We start from the raw sequence: 15,712 nt of genomic DNA on the forward strand, positions 1-15,712 counted from the left end.
GCGCTGATATATCTATTGGGCTACAGAAAGAAAATATAACATCCCTTCCTTCCTTCCTCCCTCCCTCCCTTCCTTCCTCCCTCCCTCCCTCCCTCCCTCCCTCCCTCCCTCCCTTCCTTCCTCCCTTCCTCCCTCCCTCCCTCCTTCCTTCTTTCCTTCCTTCTTCCCTTTCTTTTCTTTTCTTGTATTTATTTATTTATTTATTTATTTTTATTGATCATTCTTGGGTGTTTCTCGCAGAGGGGGATTTGGCAGGGTCATAAGACAATAGTGGAGGGAAGGTCAGCAGATAAACAAGTGAACAGAGGTCTCTGGTTTTCCTAGGCAAAGGACCCTGCGGCCTTCCACAGTGTTTGTGTCCCTGGGTACTTGAGATTAGGGAGTGGTGATGACTCTTAGGGAGCATGCTGCCTCCAAGCATCTGTTTAACAAAGCACATCTTGCACCACCCTTAATCCATTTAACCCTGAGTGAACACAGCACATGTTTCAGAGAGCACAGGGTTGGGGGTAAGGTCATAGATCAACAGCATCCCAAGGCAGAATTTTTCTTAGTACAGAACAAAATAGAGTCTCCCATGTCTACTTCTTTCTACACAGACACAGCAACAATCTGATTTCTCTATCTTTTCCCCACCTCTCCCCCTTTTCTATTCCACAAAACCGCCGTCGTCATCATGGCCCGTTCTCAATGAGCTGTTGGGTACACCTCCCAGACGGGGTGGTGGCTAGGCAGAGGGGCTCCTCACTTCCCAGTAGGGGCGGCCAGGCAGAGGCGCCCCTCACCTCCCGGATGGGGCGGCTGGCCGGGCAGGGGGCTGACCCCCCCACCTCCCTCCCGGACGGGGCGGCTGGCCGGGCAGAGGGGCTCTTCACTTCCCAGTAGGGGCGGCCGGGCAGAGGCGCCCCTCACCTCCCGGACGGGGTCGCAGCCGGGCAGAGGCGCTCCTCACATCCCAGACGGGGCGGCGGGACAAAGGCGCTCCCCACATCTCAGACGATGGGCGGCCGGGCAGAGACGCTCCTCACTTCCTAGATGGGATGGCGGCCGGGAAGAGGTGCTCCTCACTTCCCAGACTGGGCAGCCGGGCAGAGGGGCTCCTCACATCCCAGACGAAGGGTGGCCGGGCAGAGACGCTTCTCACTTCCCAGACGGGGTGGCGGCCGGGCAGAGGCTGCAGTCTCGGCACTTTGGGAGGCCAAGGCAGGCGGCTGGGAGGTGGAGGTTGTAGTGAGCCGAGATCACGCCACTGCACTCCAGCCTGGGCAACATTGAGCACTGAGTGAATGAGACTCCGTCTGCAATCCCGGCACCTCAGGAGGCCGAGGCTGGTGGATCACTCGCGGTTAGGAGCTGGAGACCAGCCCGGCCAACACAGCGAAACCCCGTCTCCACCAAAAAAATACGAAAACCAGTCAGGCGTGGCGGCGCGCGCCTGCAATCGCAGGCACTCGGCAGGCTGAGGCAGGAGAATCAGGCAGGGAGGTTGCAGTGAGCCGAGATGGCGGCAGTACAGTCCAGCCTTGGCTCGGCATCAGAGGGAGACCGTGGGGAGGGGGAGGGGGGAGAGGGAGACCGTGGGGAGGGGGAGGGGGAGGGGGGAAGAGGGAGAGGGCTCTTTTCTTTTCTCTCTACCTGTTTTAGTTTTTTAAGTCTGTTATATGTTAGCAACATTGAATTACGTTAATATATGAATTATGCTCTCAGTTTGTATGTCAGATAAGTTACAAACAAAAAAGGCATACTCAGAAGAAAACGTAGAGGTTGTAGGTCTGGAAGGGGTTGACAATCACACCCTCATTTGTTTGCAGTATGTTGCCATGCATTGCACTTTTACTTAAGCTAGGTTAAGTAGCTTTACGGGTTATATTATCTTAAATAACAGTCTCTATATTACTTTGTAAGGAGAGGTAGAGTAACCAAGAATAGTTCTTTTACCTCACAGGAGTGATCGAACTTAAAAGATGAGTTAGAAAGTGTTTGAGATTCGTCCTTTTCAGAAATAACAAGTAGCATTAGATAGTATGATACTTAGAAAATATTTTCAGAAAAAATAAAAACTTAAGTCTTTGATGTAAACATGAGTGAGAAAGTTAAGTGCTTTTTTGAAGGAAATTGATGCTTGGAGCAGAGTTTGGCACATATTTTCCTGCAAAAGTTCAGATCGCAAATCTTTGCAGCTTTTCAGGCAATGCACTCCCTATTGGAGCGACTCAACTCCCATTGTAGCAGGAAAGCAGCCATAGGCAAACATACATGAATGGATGTGGCTGTGTTCCAGTAAAACTTCATTTACAGAAATGGGGATTAGGCTGGATATACTTTGCCAACCCTTGCTATAGTGAAAGCATTTTGAATATATATTTTTAGAAATGCTTCTTTCATCATTATATGATTTTACCCAAAATAAGTAGAACTTGAAATCTTTGAATCACTTTATTACAAAATATTAAAACCAAGACTTTTTAAAATAATGAAATTTATTTAGTTACATTTTCACTGAGAGATATTATCAATATTAATTTTTAGTGAGAGCCAAAAGGTTTTTTCTACCCACTAATAAATAAAATGTATTATTTAAATATTATTTATTTCATTTATATCTTATCCCATTAAGTTAACTTTTATATTTTATAATTTACATAATCTATGAGAACATCATACATATATATTATATAAATAAATGACTTAGCTTGGGAATTATTGGGGTTTTTTCCTGAAGGTAGAGCACTGATCCAAATACTGTTTTGGAGATTTTAGATGAGTTTTAACCTTTGCTCTGCAAGTTCTCTGAATACTTGTGTAATTATAAAAACAGTATTTGTATAAACTTAACAGGGGACAGGTTGTACACATATACCCAGACAGCTAATCTCTGCTGTTTGTACTTGTTCAAAATGACACTATTTCTCCTAAAGATAAATTTAGTCATTCTTGTGAGATGTAAATGTTTATGCTTCTCAGTCACTAAGTATTTTACTTCATGTTTTAATTCTTTCTGTAATTATTTCTTAGTCTATCCCTTCATAATTGTAGCTCTAATTTTAAAATGTTTTCCCTAATTATAAAATTATGCAAATGTATAAAAAGCATTTTTTCTGTGTTTTTTTTTTAATTAGGATTATACTATCTAAACAATTTTGTAACCTGCCTTTTTCCCGTTTGTAGTAGTATTATGGTGTATGTACTCTACCTCCCTGCCTACTGCCATGTTTCAGCCATACTTTTTTCCAGAAGATATTTTAAAAGCTCTACATAAATGTGTACAATGTAACAAAATAGAATAAATTAAAAGTGGTTATTACATTTTTTTTTTAATGGAGTCTTGCTCTGTCACCCATGCTGGAGTGCAGTGGTGCGATCCTAGCTCACTGCAACCTCTGCCTCCTGGGTTGAAGCAATTCTGCCCCAGCCTCCTGAGTAGTTGGGATTACAGGTGCACACCACCACACCCAGCTATTTTTGCGTTTAGTAGAGATGGGGTTTCACCATGTTGGTCAGGCTGGTCTCAAACTTCTGACCTCAGGTGATCCTCTCGCCTCGGCCTCCCAGAGTGTTGAGATTACAGGCGTGAGCTACTGTGCCTGGCCAAATGTCTTTTGATAACATGATTTATAATGGCTTTACAATATGCCAGCTTGTAGATTTACCATAATTTATTTAATCACTGCCAATCATTAGATATTTAGGTTGTTGTCAGTTTATTTCATTTCAATAAATGAGGCTGTGATAAATATCCTTATACATAATCTCTGTTTACATCACTGATACTTTTCTCAAAAAATCTATATAAAATTCCTAGATCAAAAAATATAAACATTCTTAATATATTAATGCCAAATTGTATTATAGAAAAAGTACATTTAGTTGCTTAGAGAAGAAATTCTTAGTTTCACTATAGAGCATTCTCTTAGTGTCTTTTACTGAAATCTTTTGTTCACAGAAAATATCCCTGTTAGTATATCCTCTTTTATTACTTTGTTGGATGTTTAATAAGTCAAGGATTATAAATTATAAATAATATATATTAAATAGGTAAATATTAGTTTTTTTCCTCTCAAAGAAATTCCTTAGATATTAAAGATTTTACTCAGTGGAACTAAACTTTCCTGCCTCATCAGTTATTATTGCCCATTATTAATTGAAAGTTATATTCGTGTTTAAAATTTATATGTATTATATTTCTAATAGACTTGACCATAGTCAGTATTTTTGTATTCTAATAATTATAAAGAAGGTTTAAAGTCTGCTTTAAACCAACCAAAATGTTTCTTTCACAGTACAGTTTTAACTGTAATGTGCTTATTTGTTTTCGCTTATGGCAAAATATTTGTAACACATTGCACAAGTCTAAGGTATGTTTTTTTAAAAATAACCTAACTTGGGCAAAAGTAGAAATGCATTGGCTCTCAGGATTACAAGACAGCTTTAGTAACTAAACCATGAAGCATAGGGATATAGGCAGTAGTGTGTTGGAGGTGCTTTTGCTGGCTCACAAGAGCTGATTGTGCACATCCCTTCCCACTTCCACGTTCAATGTTGTCGTGTTGGTAGCTTAAGATTGCCCATGTCGGGATTATTTCCACCAGAAAGTCAGCAAACACTCCAAGTCAGAGGTTCCCACCACCCTAGTCAGTTGCTAAATCTTTATTAGCACATCACTGGACTTGAGCAGATATCAGTCGGGTTCAGTTGCCTTCAGAACTCCTGTTAGAATCCTGAATTCTGCCTCTATAGAGGTTGACTTCTGTCAGTGAAGACTAGCTTTCTCAGTATGGTGAGATAATAGTCCCATGGTAGCTCCCAAGTTTTACAGACTATCACATACTTTCTGACACCATAGAGAAACTAGCTTTCTCTGTTGCAGTTAGAAAAATACTAGAGAAGGTCTCTCCTCAGATGCCTGCCATTGGGTACTTAATTCAGGGGTGAGGATGGGGGATCATGGTAAATGGGGTTGTATAAGAATTTGCACATCCCAAGTTGCTATGTGAATAGGAATGCGTTTCCAGGGGAAGGAGAAAGAGACATTACAGAGCAGACAGCTCTATGATGTTTACTATACTTGCTAAAATGTGAAATTCAGCTAAATTGGAATACAAAGTAGTGCCAAAACAGCATTAGGTTTGCGGAGTTATTTTAAACATAATTGAAAAATCAAGGTTTTTTAATACTTTAAATAAAACATCTGTTTTTCAATGTGGTAATTTAAGTCCTACGATGAGTTTATTAACATGTGCTTTTTATTTAGGGTATGAGCTACAGTTCCGATTAGGCCCAACTTTACAGGGAAAAGCAGTTACCGTGTATACAAATTACCCATTTCCTGGAGAAACATTTAATAGAGAAAAATTCCGTTCTCTGGATTGGGAAAATCCAACAGAAAGAGAAGATGATTCTGATAAATACTGTAAACTTAATCTGCAACAATCTGGTTCATTTCAGTATTATTTCCTTCAAGGGTAAGTCAGGTGTTTTGTTTGTGAGAAAAAAAGTTAATTTGTTCTGTAATTTGAAGTCACCTAACTTGTAAATGTTACTGTATGAACCATGGCAGTGCAATTTTTATAGTGCTTCCTTGAGATGCAAATAGAATATTCTTTGATTTCTAGGAGGTAATTTTATGGTCCATTGCAGAGCTAAAGTATCAAGTAAATGTATTTTAAGTAACATCTTAAAATGTAGTAATTTCATGCAACCTGATTATAGGTTGCTGTTTATTTGCGTGCCCTTGTTATTACTGATAGGTTTTAGTATACTTATATTTCATTAAACCAACATTCTTGGATATTTTGTGTATTATACATGTAATTATGTAGATTGTGAAAGGGTAAAAGTAGCTTTTCCATTAAGTTTTGTTGCAACTTTTAAAATGATTTTATGTGCTTAGAAATAAATACATTTTATTTGGGACAATTAACCTTTTAGTTAGAGTCAGACTATATTATATGAGGATTTTTTTTCTATCACTGACTGAAAAGTTTTTGTTTTGTTTTTTCCCTTAGAAATGAGAAAAGTGGTGGAGGTTACATAGTTGTGGACCCCATTTTACGTGTTGGTGCTGATAATCATGTGCTACCCTTGGACTGTGTTACTCTTCAGACATTTTTAGCTAAGTGTTTGGGACCTTTTGATGAATGGGAAAGCAGACTTAGGGTTGCAAAAGAATCAGGTAATGTCAGCTTGCTTTCTTTTTCTTATTTAAAAAAATAAATGTAATTATCCTCTGTGATATAGATTTCAAAAGTTTTGTGTATTAGTCCATTCTCTCATTGCAGTAAAGAACTACCTGAGACTGGGTAATTTATAAAGAAAAGAGGTTTGACTCACAGTTCCGCAGGCTATACAGGAAGCATGGCTGGGGAGGCCTCAAGAAACTTACAGTCATGGCAGAAGGCAAAGGGGAAGCAGGCATGTCTTACATGGCCAGAGAAGGAGGAAGAGAACAAAGTGGGAGGTGCTACGTGCTTTTAAACAACCAGATCTTGTGAAAACTCACTCACTATCATGAGAACAAGGGGGAAATCCACCTCTGTGATCAAACACCTCTCACCAGGCCCCTCCTCCAACATCGGGGATTACAATTCGAATGAGATTTGGGCAGGGACACAAATCCAAACCATATCTTTTTGCCTCTATGTTTAATTTTGTTTCTTATTATTTAGTAATATAAGTAGATAGAACCATATTAAAAAAAAATTTTTTTTTTTTGAGACGGAGTATCACCCTGTCACGTAGGCTGCAATGGTGCGATCTCAGCTCACTACAACCTCCACCTCCCGGGTTCAAACGATTTTCCTGCCTCAGCCTCCTGAGTAGCTGGGATTATAGGCACCTGCCACCATGCCTCACTAATTTTTGTATTTTTAGTAGAGACGGGGTTTCACCATGTTGGCCAGGCTGGTCTCAAACTTCTGACCTCGTGATCTGCCCACCTTGGCCTCCCAAAGTGCTGGGATTATAGGCATGAGCTGCTGTGCTTGGCCCATATTACATTTTTGATACTTAACCATTTTTAACCTATAAAAATGGCAAATTTTGTGGTTCAGCTTAAGAAATGAAGGAACTCCATAATGAAACACTTATCATTTCTAAGACTTTACCATATAAAAATCAGAAATAAGCTATTGAAAAGTGAAGGAAAATGTATTATCATTATGTATCATTTTAATTCAACAAACATTGGTTAACCATCTTTTGTGTAGAAGACATGTGCTACCATAAATACCAAGAGCAAAATGAAACTTGTGTTTCATTTTGGCGCAATCTCGGCTCACTGCAAGCTCCGCCTCCTGGGTTCACACCATTCTTCTGCCTCAGCCTCCCGAGTAGCTTGGGACTGCAGGCGCCTGCCACCACGCCTGGCTAATATTTTGTATTTTTAGTAGAGACAGGGTTTCACGGTGTTAGGATGGTCTCGATCTCCTGACCTCATGATCCACCTGCCTCAGCCTCCCAAAGTGCTGGGATTACAGGCATGAGCCACTGCGCCTGGCCTTTTTTTTTTTTTTTTTTTTAAGACAGTGTCTCTGTCACCCAGACTGGAGTGCAGTGGCCTGATCTATTTTTTGTAGAGACAAAAGTCTCACTGTGTTGCCCAAGCTGGTCTTGAACTCCTGGGCTCAAGTAGTCCTCTTGCCTTGGCCTCCCAAAGTGCTGGGATTACAGGTGCAAACCACTGCACCTGATCTCAATATTAATTTTCTGCTTTTAAGTTGGATAATACATGAAGAAAGGAATGAGAAGTTCACTGACATAACTAAAACAGAATACAAGTACTATGGAACATTAAAAGTAGTAGAAACACGTGTTGATATACTCGTAGAAGATAAATTTACTACATGTTAAGTATATAAATTTTCTAATAGGCAGTGTGTGTGAATTTTTTCAAATATTATCTCATTATCTCTGTCTTGTATATGAGGACACATATCTTGAAAGATTTAAATAAACTTGCTTAAAGTCTCTTGTGGTACAGTTAGGATTTGAACCCAAGTGTTTGACCTCTTTTCCAGTAGCATGCTTGCCTTGCTATTTATAATTACTTAAGAAAGTTTAAATTTATATTTTCTTCATTTTAGGCTGGTTTTGTTTGTTTGTTTTTACAGTGGTCTTTCCTTTATTTGCTTTGCAGGCTACAACATGATTCATTTTACCCCATTGCAGACTCTTGGACTATCTAGGTCATGCTACTCCCTTGCCAATCAGTTAGAATTAAATCCTGACTTTTCAAGACCTAATAGAAAGTATACCTGGAATGATGTTGGACAGCTAGTGGAAAAATTAAAAAAGGAATGGAATGTTATTTGTATTACTGATGTTGTCTACAATCATACTGGTATGAGCTTCATTGACTGCCTTCATTAATTTTGATGAGAATTTATGCACACACACATATACACACAAATAAGAGAAAGGAAGAAAGAAAGAGAAAGGAAAGGGGCTAACATAAATTTTAAAAACACAAATGATGATTAGGTGTCCTTCTGTTTAAAAAATTAATATTTTTCCTTTCAAAGAAAACATTCTTAATTGAGGATTAAGTCAATATATAAGTATCTTGCATCTGTTGCTTATAAATACAGGAGAGTGATCATAGAAGGAACATAATGATCACATATTTCAACTTACAGTACAGTAGTCCCCCCTTATTCGCAGTTTTGCTTTCTGAGGTTTCAGTTACCTGCAGTCAATCACATTTCAAAAATATTGAATATTCCAGAAATCAGCAATTCATAAGTTTTAATTTTCATGCTGTTTTAAGTAACATGACAAACTCTCATGCCATCCTGCTCTATCCCACCTGGAATGTGACTCATCCTTTTGTCCAGTGCATCCATGCTGTAAATACTACCTGTCCACCAGTTACTTAATAGCCTGCTCAGTTATCAGATAAAAAAACACAAAATATCAAAATATATATATATATAGGGTTTCATACTATCTATAGTTTTACACATCCACTTGAGGTCTTGGAAGGTACCCCTAAGGATAAGAGGGGACTACTCTATTAATCCTTTCCCAAGTAACTCATGGATCCTATATTAGCAGGAGCTCTGGTACTATAGTACTATAGCATATATGAAAAAACTGAATGACTTCTATTATTTGGAGAGAAACTTATTAGTAAACTCTCAGAAGTTGTATTTGGAAATTATGTCTTCTACATGTTAAAAGAGCTTATTAAATTTAGTCTGTTTTGGTTCCTAAGATTCCTTAGTGGTATATAATTCTATTAAAATAGATCAGATTTTTCCAGCTAGTGATCCTTGAGGAAATGGTTGCTCCCCTCACCTGTCAGAGGAGCTGAGCCTGGCCTGGCCTAGCCTGACAAAGCGTGGCCATCAGCAGCTTTGGGTTTAACCCAGTTTACCTTACAAATGTTATCTTGTGTGTATGCTACAATGTAGAAAAGTTTGGAAACCACTGATTTGCATATGTAAAGAACAAGAATTCTAGTTGGTACAAACATTTAAAAGATACAATCTGCTGTTTCATAAAACAGTTCTCCAAGTAACCATAGAAACTATGAAGATATTTAAAAGCTCATAGATCTGGTTCATCAATATAAATAAAAATCTCTAATCATAATGGCAAAGTTAGGTAAAGAAATAGGTACATTCTAAAATTTGGTGTTTCTGCATGTACCTAGAAACCAAGCCTCCAGTTCTACGGTGAAAACTTCATAATACCTAAGAACTCAGTATTCTTCATTTGAAAATTTGACATTATTAAGCCAGGTGCTGTGGCTTGCACCTGTAATCCCAGCTGCTTGAGAGGCTGAAGTGGGAGGATGACTTGAGGCCAGGAGTTTGAAACCAGCCTTGGCAACATAATGAGACCCCCATCTCTTACAAAATAATGTAAAAAAATTGTAAAGGAAAATTTGACAGTCTTGATAATCACTTTGAGATCTATAATATTATTGAAATCAGATTTATCAAACCACATAAGGGCATTTTATGAGTTATAAATTGTATGAGTTAGGATATGGCATAAGCAGCTATAACAGAAAAACATAGGGACTAAAGGCTAAAATTGTATTTATTTCTTACAAAAGATTAGATAGGCATTCCTGGACTAGGATGGTAGTTCAGTGGTGATAGGGAACTAGTTTCTCTCATGTTGCTCTGCAGTCTCCAACACTTTGCTTCAAATTCTTAGTCAGATATGGCTATTCCAGCTCCTGCTACCACATTCTCCCCAGTGGAAATGAGGAAAGGGCAGGCATGTCTTTTTGGGTATGATATGATATATATTACTGTGTTCATATTGCATCACAGGAATTTGTCTCTTGCCATACCTACCTTAAAGGAGACCTGCAGCGTAGTCTTGAGTTTGTCAGCTATGTGTAAAGTTGAACCTTGGGAATTTTATTACTAAAGAAAGAAAGGGAGGATAAAACTGAGTACAGCAGCAGTCTCTACCACAGACTGTATTTCTGAGACATTTGGGAGATTCTGTGCAATGTAAAAGAAGTAAACCTTGCCACAGCCTTACTTGAAAAGTGTTGCAAATCGTAATATCCTTTCTGTGAAACAAGTTTTCTTTTATTTATTTATTTTATTTATTTTATTTTTTTTTGAGATGGAGTTTCACTCTTGTTGCCCAGGCTGGAGTGCAATGGCGCGATCTCGGCTCACCGCAACCTCCACCTTCCAGGTTCAAGTGATTCTCCCGCCTCAGCCTCCCAAGTAGCTGGGATTACAGGCATGCACCAACACACCCAGCTAATTTTTGTATTTTTAGTAGAGATGGGGTTTCTTCATGTTGGTCAGGCTGTTCTTGAACTCCCGACCTCAAGTGATCCGCCCACCTTGGCCTCCCAAAGTGCTGGGATTACAGGCGTGAGCCACTGTGCCCAGCCAGTTTTCTTTTAAAAAAGTATTATCTAGCAGAATTCAACCTCCAGAATGGTTATGTGAAGGCTTCACACACTCTTTACGTAGTGAAACAACCCTAACTGGTGAAAATTATTTTAAGACAATCACTTAAATCCCCTTGAAATTGTCCTACGGATATTTAGCATATGGAGAAACATATGAAGATCTACTACATCTTAGTAAGAACAGGAGTCCTTGGTGATTGAACCAAGACCTGCTCCATTATCTTACACAAATGCCTCTGTTATGGAAGCTGTATCACAGGTGCTCCACTCCTGGTAGGTGTGGCCAAGAGGGAGACATTCTCTCCTCCCAACTCCCAGCCTGGGGTTATAGTTTCATGCTAAGAGGCACAGTCTATGAGTGTTTTTAATTCTCCCTGCCGGCCCTGTCTTGCAGAAGTTCTTTTTTTTTAATTTTTTTTTCTCTTTTTTTTTTTGAGACGGAGTCTCCTTCTGTCGCCCAGGCTGGAGTGCAGTGGCGCAGTCTTGGCTCACTGCAGCCTCCACCTCCCGGGTTCAAGCGATTCTTGTGCCTCAGCCTCCCGAGTAGTTGGAATTACAGGTATGAGCCACCATGCCTGGCTAATTTTTATATTTTTAGTAGAGTTGGAGTCCCGCCATATTGGCCAGGTTCGTCTCAATCCACCCTGCCTTGGCCTCCCAAAGCGTGAGCCACCGCACCCGGCCGTGTTGCAGAAGTTCTATTCCAAGCAGGCAGGTGGAGAAAAATCTCCTTTTCTCCACCCAGCCCCTACTTGCAGAGCTGACATCCTTTCCCACAAGTAGCAGGCCAAGAACACTGGGAACCCATTTGCCCTGGAAAAGGTCTTGGTTCAAATGCCAAGACTCTTGCTGTTCTTATCTTAAATAAATGTTTCTTCTTATGCTGAATGCCCTAGGATAATTTCCAGGGACTAAATGATTGTTTTTAAAATTATTTTCACCAGTTAAATTGTTTTGCTAGGGACAGTGTTTGTTGAGTTTCTTACTGTATCACTCCAGAAGTCCATATTTATTTTTTAATGTTGATGTGTGTTAAAACATAGTTTGGAGTTTGACTCTTCTTTCATGTAGAATTAGAAAAAAATATTTTCACTACCTATTGTTTAGAATTCTTTCATTTTACAGTTGATTTTTGTTTCAAAATATTGAAAAAAGAAACAGTTTTAGGATTTTGCTATTTTAAAAATTGGGGACGGGTGGAGTGGCTCACACCTGTAATCCCAGCACTTTGGGAGGCCGTGGCGGATGGGTCACCTGAGGTCAGGAGTTTGAGACCAGCCTGGGCATCATGGTGAAACCCCATCTCTACTAAAAATACAAAAATTAGCCGGGCATGGTGGTGGGCGCCTGTAATCCCAGCTACTCCAGAGGCTGAGGCAGGAGAATCACTTGAACCCAGGAGGTGGAGGTTACAGTGAGCCGAGACTGTGCCACTGTACTCCAGCCTGGGTGACAAAGCAAGACTCTGTCTCAAAAAAAGGGAAAAATTTAAATTAGCTGTGTGTGTTGGCATACACTTGTCGTCCTGACTACTTGGGAGGCTGAGGCAGGAGGATCACTTCAGCTCTAGAGTTCAAGGCTGCAGTGAGCTATGATTGCACCACTGCACTCCTGCACTCCTGGGTGATGGAGAAAGACCTTTCTCAAAAATAAATGGATGAATGAGAGCAGCATTGGTATTTACTCTTTTTTTTTTTTTTTTTGAGACAGGGTCTCATTCTGTCACCCAGGCTGTAGTGCAGTGGCACAATCTCAGTTCATTGCAACCTCCACTTATTGGGGTCAAGCAGCCCTCCCACCTTAGCCTCCTGAGTAGCTGGGACTTTAGGCACATGCCACCATGCTCAGCTAATTTTTTAAAAATTTTGTAGAGATGAGGTCTCACTATGTTGCCCAGGCTGTCTCCAGCTCCTGGACTCAGGTGATACTCCCTCCTCAGCCTCCCAAAGTGCTGAGATTACAGGCGTGAGCCACTGCACCTAGCCCCAATATTTATTTTTTATACGTGAAAATCCTATTTGGACATAAGTTATTACTACATTTTGTCATTTTGAAAAATACCTTGAATTTCAGTGATTGTGTTGATGAATCTCGGAGGAACTACTTAATGCAAGTTTTGAGAATTACCAATTTAACTTTTATTACAACTTCTCTGCTCCTTACATAGCCTTTCTTCATCTGAGTGCTTATTATGGGTATGAATAAATACTAAGTAAATAAATGACTTACTAAATAAATGACTGAAACTGGAAATAATAATGATTCTAAAATTATATAAGGGTGCTCAGCTGAGTAAATGAAGCACAAACAATTCATTTCAGCAGCAGAGCAATGTGGTTAAGATTGCATATTCTGAAGAGAGACTTGGCCAAGTTAATTCCTGACTGTATGACTTGGGCTGAGTTACTTAACTCTCTGTGCTTCAGTTTCTCTTTTGTTAAGGGAACATAACAGTATGTCCTAATTTGTGTGGTAGGAAGTGAGGAATAATAAATTAGTGTATTTAACTGCTTAGAACAATTTCTGGTATGTGGTAAATATTCAGTAATTGTTACTACTTTTTATTTTATACACATTAATCACTCATGCTCTTCAATATGAATTCAGGGATAATTATTAGTCCATTTTAAAGATCAAACAAATTCCATGTAACTTTCATTCGTTTATTTTAAATTAAAACAAATTATCTGTTTTTAAATAGGTAGATATAAGGTTTCACTGTGTTGCCCAAGCTGGTCTTGAACTCCTGCAGGCTATCCAACCTCCACTCCCACAAAGTGCTGGGGTTGAGCTACCGTGCCTGGCCAAAACAAATTATCTTCAATGTTGTAAATATTTGGAATACTGTGCCAAACTCCTGATTCTGATTCTGAACTATAAGCTACATTCGTATTCCTTGAGCGTATTTATTTTAGCACTTTCTCAACCTCGCTTTTATCCAACTTATCAAAACAACGTATTTCATTAACACTTTAGGATGAGCCATACAAAAGTGTTACCTATGAGAGAGTTGCTTTTTGTTTCATCGGATTTTCTAAGCAGAATTAAAGTTAGAAAAAAAAAAAGTATGCTGAAGCGAATGATAGGATACCATAACCAAAGAAAAAACTTTTCCTGTAACAGTATCATCGTAAAATTGATGTCCAATATAGAAAAAAATGAGTGGTAGATCTTTATATTTTATTTCACCTCTAAACTTAACATAGATACAGTTTCAATTTAATTATGAGATACTCCTTTGTGTCTCCTTTTTCCTTCAGCTGCTAATAGTAAATGGATCCAGGAACATCCAGAATGTGCCTATAATCTTGTGAATTCTCCACACTTAAAACCTGCCTGGGTCTTAGACAGAGCACTTTGGCGTTTCTCCTGTGATGTTGCAGAAGGGAAATACAAAGAAAAGGGAATACCTGCTTTGATTGAAAATGATCACCATATGAATGTCAGTATGTACAGAGGAGTATCACACTAAAACAGAAAAAATTTCTAAAGCACACATTAAATATATGGTTGAAAATTACTTAGAACCTGTATTTTAATATGATAAACAGTATTTGCTTAACTGATTTTAAATAAGTATATGTATATATGTATTTTTTAACTATTGACATTTTTCAGTCCATCCGAAAAATAATTTGGGAGGATATTTTTCCAAAGCTTAAACTCTGGGAATTTTTCCAAGTAGATGTCAACAAAGCGGTTGAGCAATTTAGAAGACTTCTTACACAAGGTAAAGGATACATACTAGAATGTTCCTATCGATTTTAAGAAATGTAATATTATAAAGGGAAAACTCTCTTTTGGGTAACGTCATTATTAAATATGTCATTGTATTATATTTGTGTTATTGTTGATATTATAAAACTGTGATTCTGTAAGCTGAGAGTTAGCAGAAACATCTAAAGGGCACGTCATAATAATACATAACACAATTATTTCCCCTGGGTACTGTATCTTACTGTTAGTTCCATAGAATGCTCAGAATATTGTGGAACCCAGTATATAGTTGTTAAATGTATGAATGGGAAGTAGGTTGAACAGGTTATTTCAGCTGAGAAAGGCTTGAAACAAGTTTTGAAATTGAGAGATGTGATAGTCTCCTGTTGTCTATAGTAAGAACCTTAACTGACGTAGAGGGGCTCCCAGCTGATTTTGCGCACTATTAAGGCCACCTAACCACTAGTGATATTGAAGCCAGATATTGACGAGATAACAAAAGGTAACGAAGTGAGTCTTCTATTAAGGACATAACTAATCAAGCAGTTAATGTGCCCCCCCCCCCCCAACAAAATAGGGTAGGAAAAAATAGGTGAAATGAGAAAGTAGGGTTTGTAGGAGACAAATTAGAAAGGATTATTAAGAGTCTATCTGCATTTCATATAGGACAACCTAGCAGTGAGGATTTGGGGAAGATCTTAAAATACTTTTTTTCTCTTGCAGAAAACAGAACTAGAGTAGGACTCAGAAATAGTGCCTTTGAAGTAGACGTCAATATGGCTTGAGCTCTAGGATACTCAGTCAGCTTCATGCATCAACTTTTGCAATTGTGTAACACCTTAATACAGGAATTTTTAATATTAACTTTTCTCCCTGTTTCATTTTACTAAAGGGCCTCTATCTTCCCTTCCCCCAATAACCTGTATTATTTACATGAAATAATATGTGCTCATTGTAAAGAGAAAAAGCCCAATAGTTTAAATGTGTAAGAAAATAGAATGTATGACCTCTTCTTTCCCAAAACCCACATCTCAGCTACTACATATTGTTTCTTGTACTTAAGACTCTTTGTGAAAAAAAATTCAATTTTATATATAATTTTATATA

The 15,712-nt window shown here is 38.8% G+C and overlaps 1 protein-coding gene across 12 annotated transcripts in view; it reads left to right on the forward strand.

Annotated features, from left to right (window-relative positions):
• The window catches only part of AGL (amylo-alpha-1,6-glucosidase and 4-alpha-glucanotransferase), a 74,766-nt gene that overhangs the window by 6,994 nt on the left and 52,060 nt on the right, over positions 1 to 15,712 (forward strand). For 9 of the 12 annotated variants that reach the window (XM_005270557.3, NM_000643.3, NM_000644.3 and 6 more), the window contains 5 exons: positions 5,252 to 5,462; positions 6,006 to 6,172; positions 8,135 to 8,338; positions 14,149 to 14,330; positions 14,507 to 14,618. In XM_005270557.3, coding sequence (XP_005270614.1) covers positions 5,252 to 5,462; positions 6,006 to 6,172; positions 8,135 to 8,338; positions 14,149 to 14,330; positions 14,507 to 14,618 — 876 coding nt within the window. The remainder of the gene's footprint in view (positions 1 to 5,251; positions 5,463 to 6,005; positions 6,173 to 8,134; positions 8,339 to 14,148; positions 14,331 to 14,506; positions 14,619 to 15,712) is intronic. The other 3 variants (NM_001425328.1, NM_001425329.1, NM_001425332.1) reach the window with 2 other exon arrangements.

The sequence above is a fragment of the Homo sapiens genome, chromosome 1 (assembly GCF_000001405.40).
Source record: "Homo sapiens chromosome 1, GRCh38.p14 Primary Assembly".
Classification (NCBI taxonomy): Eukaryota; Metazoa; Chordata; class Mammalia; order Primates; family Hominidae; genus Homo; species Homo sapiens.